Here is a 15,692-nt window from a genome sequence, read left to right on the forward strand (position 1 = left end):
CGAATTCGGTCTTATTCATTTAAGCTTCCATAAAGTAAGTAATGCATGATTTTTAAACTTTCTGTTTTGATGCGTAGGTGCCAACAGGCAACTTTCTCAGGTTGTCACCCTATTTAAAAGTTCCGAGAAAATCCACAGCATTAGACATGTCTCTTGTAAGTTACTGCGCCCCTTAGTAAACCACATGACAAGCTGGTAAATACAAGTATTCACAAGCAAATACGATGTGTTACAGGTGAACATAGCAAGCCCCTGGGCGATTGGGGAAAACGATGGACTGACTGAGAAAGCATTTAGGCATAGTGACTTGTTCCCGGACTGTCCAGAGAGGTTTAAATTCCTTGCTAGAAACTCTTATGAAAGGAAATGTGAGGTGGGCGGCAGAAAGGCTAAGGTGTTCTAGGCTGCAATAAGAAAAGTATACAATCCACCCAGTGCGGTGGCTCACGCCTGTAATCCCAGCACTTCAGGAGGCCGAGGTGGGCAGATTACAAGGTCAGGAGATTGAGGCCAGCCTGGCTAACACAGTGAAACCCCATCTCTACTAAAAATACAAAAAATTAGCCGGGCATGGTGGCGGTTGCCTTTAGTCCCAGTTACTCAGGAGGCTGAGGCAGGAAAATTGCTTGAACCTGGGAGGCGGAGGTTGCAGTGAGCCAAGATCATACCACTGCACTCCAGCCTGGGCAACAGAGCAAGACTCTGTCTCAAAAAAAAAAAAAAAAAAAGAAAAGAAAAAAAAAAGAAAAGAAAACAACGTGGCCTGTGGCCTGGTCTGGTTCTGCTCTGCTATCCACGGCTCAGGTCAATCTGGAACATGGGATTCCGTGTGGGAAAGTACATGCTAAAAGGAAATTAGAAGATCTGTACCAAGAAAAGAATAGCAGCACCATGAGAGAACCGGGACTTGGGAGACGTAAAGGATGACAGAAGAGGTCTGATCATTTAGCCTGGAACAGACTCAGTGCAAGAAAGGACAATATCACCCTTTTCAAATATTTGAAAAGCTGGGCTTTGAAGCGATTTGTTTGGTTTGCCCCAAAGGGTATAACTTAGACCAAATGGTCAGAAACTACAGAGAAACAGATTTCAGCTCAGTAAAGGGAAGGACCTTCCAGCGGGCAGCGATAGAATGGCCAAAGAGGAAGGACCTTCCAGCCAGTTTGAAGACAGAATAGGCTGCCTTGAGAGGTGAGGCTGGCTTTGCAGCACACTTGAGTTGCACAAACAGCCTGGGCAGCTGTCTGCGGGGAAGCCGGAAAAGGCATTTAGTAGGTAGAAGTAAAAGAGGGTCCACGAGCCCATATAATAAACTTGGCTGTTGAGTGAGAATCTGGCACCCACCTACATAGGCGCTCACAGTTCAATTGATGATGGAAATAATATCACATTTCTTTCTGTTAGTAGAACCCTACATGGGCCGGGTAGAAGAGAAGGTGCTCTGTGTATGGAGGAAGTCTTTGAGCAAGCGAAATTACAGTGTTTGAAGAAACACACTTCCCTCTTTTATACAGTTCCGAAACTGTTATAAAGATTTGGTTGTTTGAAGGGTTGAAAAACTACTGCTTCGTTAAGAACCACGCTGTGGCTTCAGGAAAAGGAAAAATCAAAACTTGCGGGCATCGCAGACCGTGGCATTTATTATTCAATGGTTTGACACTGGAAATGCATATACCATGCAGCCTGCAGATTTATAGACTGCAGATTTTGTGGTATGTTAAAAATATTTTTTTGCAAGTGATTTGAAGTATGCTATTTATGATATTTCAGCAAAATGAGCTACTGTAACCTAAGTTAAACAAGTTATTCAATAGTTTCAAGCAGCAAACTATAACCTAGCAAGACTTTGGAAGCTGAGGGGTGGTAGCACCCTCCTACTATAGGAAACTATTCTTCAATTATTTGTAATTATTATTATTAGAATCATTTCATATCTTCTGGAGAGTTATTAAGAAGATGGGGTTGCTGATCTTCTTAATAACAAATTATCCAATTTATTATCTGTAATTTTGTTCCTCAAAACTTTCCCCCTTAAGTTGTTGTTGGATAGAAAAGGTTGCTTTTTTGTTTGACTTTTTACTAAATTATCATGGATTCTCACATAGTATATATATATGTGTGTGTGTGTGTGTGTGTGTGTGTGTGTGTACATTGAACTCATATCTTTTCATTATAATTATTGGAAGCATAAACTGTATGAAACCTGACATTCTATATTATTATTATTATTATTATTTTGCTTTCTGGCATTCAATATATTGCCTGTCCCAATTTATTTATTCTGAGTTTTCATTGCATTTATCATACTCTGTAAAATGCTCGTGCTAGTAATGGCTCCCAAAGATACATCTATATACAAATCCCCAGAATCTGTGAATGTTACCTTATTTGAAAACATGGTCTTTGGAGAATGTGATTATCCTGGATTATCTGGATGGGCTCTAAATGCAATCACATGTGTCCCTAGAAACGAGGGGTGGTGGGGGGTTGGAGAGAGACACACAGAGGAGAAGGCAATGTGGAGATGGAGGCAGAGACTTGAGTGATGGGGCCACAAGCCAAGGCATGCTGGTAGCCACCAAAATTTGGAAGAAGCAAAGATTAAATTTCCCCTAGGGCCTCCAGAGGGAGTGTAACCCCACCTCCATCTTGGTTTTGAATTTCTGGACTCCAGAAATGTGTGAGAATAATTTCTTTTACTTTTTCATCCAGTTCATGGTAACTTGTTACAGCAACCATATGAAACAAATAGTGTTCTTTCTTCTAGAGTTTGTTTTCCTACCTTCTCCCAACTCTAAATTGCTCACACAATGTTTGGGAATTTCCTTCCCCATCTCTAGGTTCTAAAATCCTGCCAGTGCTTCCAGGCTTAGCTTCACATGGTGTGGCCCCAGCAGCCTGCTGTGTCCACCCCAACCCGCATGACTGGGAGTCACTCAACTCCTCCTCTGAACACTCAACACAGGGAAAGCCCCGGAGTCCTCATTGTCTCATCTGAAAACCCTCTCATGATTGTTTGCAAACTGCATGAGATAAACTGAAAATATTTAGCATTGTATTCAGGGCAGAGTAGGTGTTCGGCCCACCTGTCGCCTTCCAAATTGCCAGTGCATAGCTGTATCTCTTTCCCAGCACACACTCCAGCAGGCGACTGCTGTCATTATGCCTTGTGAGGCGATCGGGGCTGAGTGAGCTTCCTAAGCTTCCCTCTTTTTCACCTAACACCTTTGCTTTCTATCATCCCTTTTCTGTTTTACTTTTATCTTAGAGGAAGAGGGTTTTTTCTTCCATTCCAAGGTTAAACTTTCCAACTAGGTTTTAATGTTCATCATTGGCGCCTCCTCTGGAGCCTCTAGCCATTTTCTCCTTCTGGAAAACATCTCAATCAATCCCTCTCTGTTTGCACTTTCTTCTAAACTGAAAAACAGAATGAGGTGCAACAATGTTAAAATAGAGAAAGAAAATGCAATTGCTCCCTTTCTCTCCCACCCTACTTGATTTTTTCCACAGTCATTTTTTTTTTTAAGACTGCTTCCGATGCCTCACCATTCACGCATTCTAAATCATTTCTAACCTGGTCTCCGTGTTCACCTCTGCTATTTTTTTTCAAATTCATTAGTGATTTCATAGTTATGAAGTCCAGTTACTGCTTCTGGGACATGATGCTGTTGCACCTAACTCTGCTGTGGCCTGCATATTGGATATCTCTGCTTCGATTCAAAATGTTTAAAATCGGTATCATTCCCCGATCTCCAATTTATCTTTTCATGTTCCTCTCAGTCTCTCACTTGGGTACCAAGTGTTCATCTTTGCTTTTTCCCCTTCTTTCCACCCAATCTGTGCTTCTGTCCTCCTCCTCCGCCTGACAGTTTTACGCCCTGAACATCTATATAATTTATTGTTACTGTTACTCCATTGGATATAATGAGGCTCTCATCACTCACTTGCCACCTGAGCTATTGCAGTTTCCTCCTGACACTCATTCCACCTCCTGCCTTCCTTCATTCCACTCACTCCCCCACAATTCTGCCAGAATAATTTTTTTTCTTTTTTTTCTTTGAGACACAGTTTCACTCTGTCCCCCAGGCTGGAGTGCAATGGTGCGATCTCAACTCACTGCAACCTCTGCCTCCCAAGTTCAAGCAATTTTCCTGCCTCAGCCTCCCAAGTAGCTGGGATTACAGGCATGTGCCACCATGCCCAGCTAATTTTTGTATTTTTAGTAGAGATAGGGTTTTGCCATGTTGGCCAGGCTGGTCTTGAACTCCTGACCTCAAGTGATCCACCCACCTCAGCCTCCCAAAGTTCTGGGATTACAGGTGTGAGCCACCGCACCTGGACCAGATTAATTTTTAAGTGTATTTATTAATATATCACTTTTTTGTATAAAATCCTTTTGTGGCTACCCATTTTCTATTGAATCAAGTATATTCCATTCAATTTACTTCAGTTGTCATTGCAAAGCTCTTTACAGTACAGAAGTCACCGTGGCTAACATCTATGGAATTCTGGTATGTTCTGGGGACTCTGAAGCACTTACAGATGTTATCTCCTCTTATCCTGACAAGAAGACTGTGTGGCAGGCTCAGTACTGTTTGAGTGTCACAGTGAGAATCCAGAGGTTTAGCCAGGATTAGAACTGTGTGTCTCTATCTCTACAGCCTAATGAGAGAGCCCACAAGAGAATCTTTAAGGCCGCCTCCACTCACACCCGCTTCCGGACTCCCCCACAGTCTCACCCTGACGGCTTCATGACGTGATCACGCTCCACTCAGTGGTCTCACCTCTGCCTGCTGAGGCCAGATGCTTTCTGGTGCCCTGCTCAGACCCCTTCTAACAGCACAGTGTGTGTTTCTCTTGCTCCTTCACAGCTGTATGCACTCAGGAGCATGGGGACACCCTCCTTTCATCTTGGTGTCCTCTTCAACATCCTAGCACATGGGCCTGAACGTAGGAGTGGCTCCATATGTGTGGAATTCCAATGCCTAGGTTTTCTGCCTTGCTAGAAAACAGGCTTTTTAAGGGTAGGACAAAACTATAAGAAACATTTGTATGTTTTATAGTATTGAACATGTTGCATTATACAGAGCTGATAGTAAATATTGAATGAATGAATGAACGAATGAATGAAATAAAAGAAAGGGAATCACTTAAGCTGTGTGGGTTTCTTCAGCTATAAAATAAAGGCGTCAGGACAGACTGCCTCTGAGATTCCTTTCAGATCTAAAATGTTATGAGTTTCAGATTCTGCTTATTCTTTGTTTTTTAATTCTGCTTATTCTTTGTTTTTTAATTCTGCTTATTCTAATACTTTTTTATTTTGTGTCAGTAAACAAAAAAGTAAGTGGACTTTAGCATCTGTGAAATTAAACCCAAGAAGCCATCATAATGAAATCACCTTTGCAAAAATAGTAACAGTGAGAAAATTATTGCAGTGAAAGAGAACGTATCTAAACAATCCCCACTTTGCCTTTAACCTCCAAACCGCCTTTAGTCATTCCTGGGCATGACAGCCTTTCCCAAACCTACACGGCCTTTGCAAAACTAATACAAGAACACAGGTTAGGAGAATGAGGGACCTGAATTATGTTAAGGAACAGACGTACACAATTATCAGCCATTATCCTAGAGGAAACAAGATTTCAACGTGCTCAATTATTTCTGCAGATAGCAACACTATTGTGTACTAGAACCTAAGACTGGCCTTTTGAAATGTCTTTTCAGGTTTTTGCACTTCTGACCACCAATGGCTCCACTCGGACCCACCAACCAGCTATGAGGCCTCACTCACAAGGAGACCCCCTGGCCTGTCAAACTATCCTTGAAAAACCCTAGTCTCCAAATTTTGGCAGAGATTGATTTGAGCAATAACTCTATCTCCTACGTGCTGTGGCCAGTCTTGTGCCAATTAAACTATTGCAATGCCATAGTCTCAGTGAATTGGTTTTGTCTGTGTAGTGGGCAAGAAGAGCCCATCAGGTGGTTACAATAACTTTTTTGTTTTTTTGAGACAGAGTCTTGCTCTGTCTCCAGGTTGGGAGTGCAGTGGCGCGATCTTGGCTCACTGCAACATCCACCTCCCGGGTTCAAGGGATTCCCCTGCCTCAGCCTCGTGAACAGCTAGTGTTATAGGCACACACCACCACACCCAGCTAATTTTTTGTATTTTAGTAGAGAAGGGGTTTCACCATCTTGGCCAGGATGGTCTCGATCTCCTGACCTCGTGATCCGCCTGCCTCGGTCTCCCAAAGTATTTTTCCATTTTATATAAAATGTTAGATTGGGTGCTAAGTTAATTTCTTCTCCTCCTGCTTATACTAGAAATCTTTGAGCATCAAAGTAAACTCAAGAATTTCAATTGCTTTAAGAAACTAACCTGAGTGTACAGAAGAATAAAGAGGTTAAAGAAAATATCCAGCTATGAAGGAACTTGGGAGTTGTTAATGTTCTAGAATTGCATCATGTATCTTTAAGGGGCAAAGGAGAGACATAATTTAAAACATCCACTAGAGAGCTCTGCAACATTTCCTTTTTGCAAACATTAATCCATGTTAATTATTCCCCAGAGCAATGTCAGCATTCCCATAGATTCGATTCTACTGATAAGGACTTTGATTATGCACCCATGTTCACAGCAACCTTATTCACAATAGCCAAAAGGTGGAAACAACTCAAGGGTCCATGGACAAGTGAATGGGTAAACAAAACGTGGTGCATACATATCGCAGAATATTATTTAACCTTAAGAAGGAAGGAAATCCTGGCACATGTCGCAACATGGATGAATTTTGTGGACAGTGTGCATGGTGAAGTAAGCCAGACACAGAAGGAAAAATCCTGTATGATTCCAATCATAATGAAGTACCTGGAGAAGTCAAACTCGCAGAGACAGAAAGTAGAATGGTGGTTGCCAGAGGCTAGGGTGAGGTGGCCAGTTATTGTTTAATGGGTACACAGTATTAGTTTTGGAAGATGAAAAAATTTTGCAGATGGATGGCAGAGACGGTAGCCCAAGAATGTGAATACACTTAAGGCCTTATGGCTGTACACTTAAAAATGGCTAAAATGGTCAATTTTATGTTATTTAGAAAATGAGAATGGGGAGAAACCTTGAGCAAGTGAACAAGAAAATTATAGCCTTGAAAAAAACAAGAATAGGGAACTACATAATATATTCTTCTGTGATTTGAACACTCCGATTACTATTGAGAGCTAGTGAAATTACTGGTCTTGAATTTTCTAAGGATGCTAGCTGTGGAGGAGAAGGAAGAAAGAGATAATCAGGCACAGAGTAGGGGAAGGCACTGGGGTTGCTATGCTGTGGAATGAGGAGGAAGAAAGAAGAGACAGAAAGGCCTTATCATACTAGGAAATGGATTGTCTTCTGCTGCCCTGTATTCCAGAGTGATGTGTGGTGAGAGGGCTTGACATGGGATCATAACATCTGCGAGTGTGAGCCTGGGGTAGGCGGGATGCATGGGCTGCAATACACCAGACAGCACCACTGCCGCGCTGGAGCAAAGGCTCTGGGAGCTGCTTCCTGGGCTGGAGCCCACCCACTAGCAGGGCTGGAGCTTGTCAAACTTCATTATTCTCCAAGATACTGGGAGACCCGGGCCCTTCAGCACCTCACTCATGGATGTTAAATCTGGAATAGATAGCGTAGAGGTGAAGGGAATTTTCTTCCCTCCAGCTTCTGAAGGTTTGATAATTTGAGTCCATAAAACAAACTGACAATAGACAGGTTAACAGCCAGAAGGGCATGTGAATTTATTAACATGCCCATGGACATGGGAGTCCCACAAACATGAGACTCAAAAAAGGGTCAGCTGACTGAAGTTTTTAGACTATCTTCCATTCCAGGCGATGGAAGGAACAGGGGCTAGGGGTTCCCCGGGGGAGGAGGCAACAAGGTTATGGGAGAGTGAAGGCAGGTAAGCCTGGTGAGCAAACGGTGTCTTGTTATGTGGATAAAACTCTCCTATAACCCTGGAGCTGCCCTCAGGAAGAGCAGATGGGAATGGGGTAAAAGTCTCTATCAGACCTTCAGCAGCGTCAGACTTTAGCCTTTTTTTCCCATGAGTTAACCTTTCCTAGATCCGGATGAGGAAGACAAGGGTGCCTCGGAGCCTGTCTGCATGGTCTGTCTACCTCCCGAATGCAGATTTTCCCTACAGATGCAAATCTGCCTCACAAAGGACAGCTTTTCAGAGCTATTCCTGTGTTCTCCAGCCCCTCTGAATACCGATCTCGAAATATGCCAAAGAAGCATATTTTAGGGTAAAATATTCCGGTTTCTTTCAATAGAACCACAGAAATATGCATGTTTTAAAAGAGCAAAGACATTATGGGAACATATTGAAGGAAAAATATGAAAAAGACAAGAGCAAAAGGATCAAACACAGAAGAAAATGTTGGCAGGTGTTGGGGAAAAGTGGGCGTGAGACTCACCAGGTGCTTCATGGCCCCCAGGGAACTTGCAGAACATCAAAATTAGATTTTGACTGATTTTCCAACAAATTGGTTGGCTTCAGAAGTAAAAAAAAAAATAAACAGAGATAGTCATTTTTATTAGTAGTAATCATCAAAAATAAAAATCGATTTGAAAATTTCTGTGTAGGTTTTCAGTTTTACAGACATAATCTCCAGTTCCTTTTAAGAATGGTCTGAACCCAGAGCCCCTCTGTCCATACCAATTACATCACATGTTACACTGAAGACTTGACCAGCCGTGTCACAAGCACCCAGATGTCTTACCTCGCAAGGCACCAGTGCCTCCCTGTAATTGCTGCACTGTCAGAATCAATATCTCTCTGGGGTCTGCTTTTGAGGTTCAGCCAATCAGCTCCATTGCGCTGACACAGCTCAGCTTATGCCAAAGAGAGCTGCCACCTCAGTCCCCACAAAAGAACAAAACACACCATCATCCCAGATGATGCAACCCACTCCCTCAGCAAACATCACTGTGACTTGAAAATCACAGACTCTCAGAGAATGAAGGAGGCCTGGAGACCAGCTCCTCGGAGCCTAGCACTTTCCTGAAGCACAGACAGGAGGGGCATGATCACACGGGGAGCCAGTGACTGAGCCGGGGATGCCTCCTGACACCCCGGCTGGGCCCATGTCCATGCTGCCATGTATGGCCAGGCATCAGTGTTTTAATGACCCCTTCATCTGATCACATGGCTTTGCACACTTACTTTAATTTTAGACTTGAAAACATGTGATTTACTAGTTGTGTGCTTCTAAGAATCCATGACACAGACAAGAAAGAAGAATGAATTAGGACGATAGGCCCACCGGGGGCCAAAATTCTCATTCTCAGCCTACCTCTCTTATGAGTGACAGGGCAAGCCCTGATGCCACTGAAGCAACAGCAGTGAACTAAGTCAGGGCCAAGGTACAGAGGACTTGTTTTGGTGTCACAGCACCTCCTGAACTCCTTGTCTGTATGTTTGCGTAATTCCCTACCATCCAAACTTCTACTCTATTGATCCATCCCAACACAGAATCCAAGAAGACCAGGTAAGTCTTCCCTTGTCCTCATAACCGAAGCTCGACTTAGGTTCAGATCTCCAGTGGGAATGAATAAGCCAAGGAGGTGAGGGCAGTGGAGGAAAGTGGCAGCGGCGTGAGCATCCGTTCTGCTGCAGCAGATGCAGCGGTCATGGCGCCCGGGCGACACCTGGTGCTGCATGGCAGTGGCATCACCCCCGCCAGGATCCCGGGTGCACCGGGCCCAGTGCCCGGCTGCCTTCTTGCTCAGAGTCAGGTCTCAGTGTCTGTGGTCCTAGACAGTACTTTCTGCTGATTGGCCCGGACAGGTCAGCTGAGAATGAAGGACTAGGGTTCTTCTCTGAGAACTTTGCCTCAACAATAAGAAACTTGAAGAACAGTGACTTTGTCACACTGTAACATTAACAATTTCTTTTTCAGAGAAGTAAAATGTGGGCAAATTATAGTTTTCCTGAAAGAATTTAATTTTCAAATAATTCTGGCCAATCCCTTCATTGTTTTCTTTTGAAAATATTATTATCGGAAAAGTTTGGTCCCAAATTCTCAGCACAGAATTTCATTTGGATTAAAATTAGCCAGAGAGAATGATCAGTAAGGACCAGGAAAAGGGAGTGTATGAGAGTGATGGAGTTTGAAATCTCATTGAGTAGAAATCCCATTGACCACAATTATCCAGCTCTGAACAAGGATCAAATGCTCATAGGCCAAAAAAAGCTCCGGATTAGGCCAAAGAATCTCACTTAACCAACTTGTATATAACAAATACTCCAGTGGATTCCACAGCAATTTCATTTTGGAATTTGTCATGGGAAATAGGTAGGAAAGACAGACTGAAATGGATTCATGCATAAAGAAATGCACTTAAAGAAAAGGGGTAATTTTTGGCATTGACGGGTTCTGAATTAGATACAAATCCTCAGAGAAAGGATTTAGACATGTTGGCCAGGCGAGATGGCTGACGCCTGTAATGCCAGCACTTTGGGAGGCCGAGGCAGGTGGATCACCTGAGATCAGGAGTTCAAGACCAGCCTGACCAACATGGTGAAACCCCGTCTCTACTAAAAATGCAAAAATTAGCTGGGTTTGTTGGTGCACGCCTGTAATCCCAGCTACACGGGAGGCTGAGGCAGGAGAATCCCCTGAATCCGGGAGGCAGAGGTTGCAGTGAGCCAAGATCGCGCCACTGCACTCCAACCTGGGTGACAAGAGCAAAGCTCTGTCTCAAAATAAATAAATAAACAAACAGCTAGTAACTGGGTTTTGACATATGGAAATTCCTTACTTCTTATTTCAATTCACTGCTCTTTTCTAAACACAGAACTACTGTGTAGTGTAACAGGATGATTGGCAGGGGGTGCTCTGTGGCCCCTGGTGTGTGCCCCTAACAAAGAGCCATGTCCTCTGCAGAGAGTTCTTGGTGGAGGAGGCTCCACTGGGAAAAGCCAAGCCACTGGGTGGTGCGTTGCCCTCAAGTTTCCCAGTGATGCCAGTGATACCTGCCCTAAATTACAAATGCTGCTTACACATGGCCAAAAAAAAAAAAAAAAGCACATGTCAGTGATTGGTTGTATTACAAAGCACGTCAGTGATTGGTTGTATTACTGAGCTACTGGAAAAGCTGCAGCATCTGCAGCAATTGCGGAGGCTCAGGAAACAGTACCCCAGATGACAGCCTCAGAAGCAAGAGCTTCTCTCTGCTCACTTCTGCCTTCCGGTTCCTCAGCCCAATTCTCCCCTGAGGCCAGATATAGAAACCAGAATCCCTCTTCCTCCAGGACCGTCACAGTAACCACAACCCCTTTGCCCCAGAGCCAGCCTTAAAACCTAAAAGTATTACTCTAACTTTCGCTCCGCCTTTCTGGGTAAGAACTGGCGATAAAGACACTCTCTGACCCACCTTGTTTGAGTGTAGGTATGAGATCCGATTCCAGAGAGGGCCCCACCCCACACCAGAAGGAAGGAAAGCTGACCAGAGAGGCCAGCAAGAATCTGGACAGACAGGCCTTGCTGGGTGTCCCCACTCAGTCTATTCGCATTAGACCACACCCTTTCGTCCAATCCTATGCCTACACAGCTGCCCATACTTTGTTAAACCTAAGCATAAAAATGGACAGTTTCCCCTGTATCTTTGGGTCTTCAATCTGAAGGCTCCTATGTACACATTAAGAAAATTTGTACATCTTTTCTCAAATGAATCTGCCTTTTGTGAGTTGATTTTTCAGCGAACCTTCAGAGGGTGAAGGGAAAATTTCTCCTAGGCCCTGACACAACCATAACTACTGCAGTCTGAAACAGGTATGCTCCACAGCCTACAACAGGTATAGAAAGTCACGGAACACAGATGGCTAAGGTTCAAACCAGCACGAGAGGGCGTTCAAAAAGCTAAGGAGTTAGGCTGGGTGCAGTGGCTCACGCCTGTAATCCCAGCACTTTGGGAGGCCGAGGCAGGCAGATTACCTGAGGTCAGGAGTTCAAGACCAGCCTGGCCAACATGGTGAAACCCTGTCTCCACTCAAAAAAAAAAATTTAGCAGGATGTGGTGGCAGGTGCCTGTAATCCCAGCTACTAGGGAGGCTGAGACACAAGAATCATTTGAACCCAGGAAGCAAAGGTTGCAGTGAGCCAAGATCATGCCACTGCACTCTAGCCTGGGCAACAGAGCAAGACCCCGTCTCAAACAAACAAAAAAGCTCAGGAGTTGGATAGCTCCACAGCAGGGGCTAACATTCCATCTAAGCAAAGTGACTATAATCCAACCACTTTTTGACGTCTAAATAAACTTGTGCCTTTAATGACTGTTTTCTGATTGACATCCCATTACTGCCTGAAGGCAAAACAAGCTGAAAGGGCAAGATTGTGTGATAGCCAAAGAAACTCATTCACATATTAAGCCATTGACAATTTTAAGACATATTCTAAATGGATCATTCTAGCAATTAAGTGGAGGGGAAATGAACGGTAGGGGACATAAGCAGGGAAACTAGAAAGAAAGTTTGACAGTTGATGTCAAAAATAAGAAAGGCTCAAACTAGCACCATGTCTGTAAGGAAGAAAAGAAAGGGAAAATTTCCCAAACATATATTTAGAAGTTAAATCAATCACACTCTATTCACTGGACGATGAAAGACTGGGTGAGGAAAATAAAAACATCAAGAATCATTGCTCGTGTTTTTGGAGGCAGTGTTGCTTGGGGTTAGTCAGTAACGGGTGGCAAAATAAGAACAAAATAATGACTACCAAAACGCAAATGAAACTAACTAGCGGCTACGTTGATTTGCATCTCAGCCTTATTGCTTGTCTTTACCTCTGGGAAAAAAATTGAAGAAGTAATAGAAATAAAATGCAGAGTGGTATGGAGAGGGCGTCAGTTTAGCAGGAGGTAATACCCAAATCTTTAGAAAAAGCAGAGAATGTTATTTGGATACCGTGAGCTTCACTGTAGAGGCCAAGGCATGGTGAGATTTAATAAAGGTGCACAGAGCATAAATCTAAAAGGCGATTATGCTAGTATAACCCACACGATATTGTGGATGACGTGTTTAATGGCAACATCCTGATCCACTCTTGCCTAGGGGATGTTAATGGAACTACACAAAACCTATCATGCTTTGGTTCAATGAGAGATTTTTTTTTTTAAGCTCATACTTCAAGCAAGGAACCTAAAATCTCTTCCATGATCACAGTGTGCAGAGGCAATACTAATTTTCAGAGCAGCCTGATCTGGAACAAAGGAGACAGGAATCAGGGCAGCCTCTGACAGAGTGCTCACAGGAGAAAGAGATGGTGCTGCCCGGTACAGCCCCTCCCAGCATTCACAGGCAATGGCTGGAGGTAAGAAGCACCAGGTCCGGTCTAGATAACAGCATTTGGGACACACAGCGGATAATCCAAGCTGGGACAGGCAGAGGCTACTCCTTAGTCAGATGGTTAAGGTCTCGAAGAATTGGTGACTGTCATCAGGACCCGTTCTCTGTGTTTAAGTGTGCACAGGGATTTGGACATATTTTTTATTTTAGAGTGTAGATTCTGTCGTTCTCGAAAATCTTTTTCATTTTGTGAAGTAGCGAGTTTATTTTTATTTTTTTTAAGAGACAGGGTCTCACTCTTTCACCCAGGGTGGAATGCGGTGGCGTGATCATGGATCCCTGCAGCCTCCTGGGTTTAAGCGATCCTCCCCCCTCAGCCTCCCCAGAGGCTGGGACCCTGACAGGCATACTCAGCACTGAGTTTAAACCCACCTAACAACCAACTACGCAACATGCCCAGGCACTCCCAGAGCCAAGATTGTCTAGTTGAGTCAAGGGCTTGATATCCAGAGTTGGAAAAATAAAGAGCTCTCCTTAACAAATTGTATCTGAATAAGTAGACTTGTGTTTGGGGGAGCCAAGTGTTACAGTAGAGCCCAACGAGTATTATACCTTCAGGCTTCGCACGTTCTTTACAGTCATAAGCACTCAGCAAATGGTTACCATACTGGACGCCATGGAAGACTTATTAGAAGGGGGTAAAGTTGGAAATATGAAAATGAGTTAGGCTGTGGCCACAGCCTGGAGGAAAACAGGTAAGGGTTGATCTAAGATAGAGGCAACGGCACTAGAAAGGAGGAGACAGCTGCACATGGTGGCACACATCTGTAGTCTCAACTACTAAGGAGGCTGAGGAAGGAAGATCTCTGAGCCCAGGAGTTTCAGATTGTCGTGTGCTATGATCACACCTGTGAATAGCCACTGCACTCCAGCTCAGGCAATATAGTAAGAACCCATCTCTAAAAATAAAAAGAAGAAGGGGAAGAAAGGAGAAGATAGCTAAAAGAAATTTAGAGGCAGACAATCGTTCATAAGTAAAAAGGCAGTGAAGTACATAGGACAAATAAGTTACTATACTTGAGAGTAAAATATTAAATTGGCTAGATCCTAACTTGTGAGAAATAATAGAGCTACCCGTTCCATACTGACACCCAGCAGTGAACCACACAGCCTTTAGGTTAACAACGGGACTTTCTCCAGTCAAGTACAAGTCCCAGTTCTCTTATCAAAGAGAACTCAACTTGGATTTATATGAAGATCAAAGAAGCCAGCTCTGTAAGTCATACCTAAAAACATTCCATGCATAAAATAATGAAGACTACTAGGTTATAGAGATGGTTATTTGCAAAGTGATAGAATCCCATTTCTCATTAATTGTGAAATAATTTAGGACAAAACCAAGAACAGATGAAAACAGGTTATATAGAGAGAGAAAAAAAATTCAAAAAATATAGCAAAGGCAGTGATACCAAGACAAATGTGAATTACATACCCAATATTTTTCTATTTGCAAAATGTGTGATTAGATGAGTTGGAAGAAACTGCCTACAATTTACTGAAATACTTTGTGTATTTGTACGTATGAGTGGGAGAGAGAGAGGGAGGGAGAGGGAGACAGGGAAACAGAGAGAGAGAGAGACAGAGAGAATTATATTTCAGACCAAGAATCTGATTCAGTCACTAAAACTACAGACTGCTTTTAATCTACAGCCCAAGGATAGTCCAAAAGGCAGTGCAATTATCAAGTTGTCTAAAACATTGTTTATGGACAGCTATCTCTTTCTGTGTAAAGACTGACCTCATTTTGCACATATCTAACATTTGCAATCTCAATTGCATGAAACAAGGTAGATAAACTAGGTTGCATTTATTTCTTTTCCTAAAGAATTAGCACCAGTATTTTGTTAGTCAGTTTTAAATTATGATGCCATTTACAAAATTCAATTTATATCTATCTTTTCGGAATACATATACTGTGTAGACTATGTTTCCAAATTTGATTTTTCTCCTTGCCTTACCCAAAATGTTGAAGAAGAATTTTTTTTTTTTAATTGAGATGGAGTTTCACTCTTGTTGCCCAGGCTGGAGTGCAATGGCACAATCTCGGCTCACCGAAACCTCTACCTCCTGGGTTCAAGCGATCTCCTGCCTCAGCCTCATGAGTGGCTGGGATTACAGGCATGTGCCACCACGGTCGGCTAATTTTTTGTATTTTTAGTAGAAACGGGGTTTCTCCATGGTGGTCAGGCTAATCTCAAACTCCCAACCTCAGGTGATGCGCCCGCCTCGGCCTCCTAAGGTGCTGAGATTACAGGTGTGAGCTACCACGCCTGGCCGAAGAGGAAAATTTATAATAAAATAAACTTATGG

The 15,692-nt window shown here is 43.2% G+C and overlaps 1 protein-coding gene across 10 annotated transcripts in view; it reads right to left on the bottom strand.

The window, feature by feature from the left end:
- The window catches only part of SORBS2 (sorbin and SH3 domain containing 2), a 370,850-nt gene that overhangs the window by 300,323 nt on the left and 54,835 nt on the right, over positions 1-15,692 (bottom strand). The window contains exon 2 of one of the 10 annotated variants that reach the window (NM_001270771.3): positions 8,452-8,528. The exons of the other annotated variants lie outside the window; for them this stretch is intronic. The gene's annotated coding sequence lies outside the window, so the exon portion shown is untranslated. The remainder of the gene's footprint in view (positions 1-8,451; positions 8,529-15,692) is intronic. 10 annotated transcript variants of the gene reach the window in all.

Source organism: Homo sapiens, chromosome 4 (assembly GCF_000001405.40).
Source record: "Homo sapiens chromosome 4, GRCh38.p14 Primary Assembly".
Classification (NCBI taxonomy): Eukaryota; Metazoa; Chordata; class Mammalia; order Primates; family Hominidae; genus Homo; species Homo sapiens.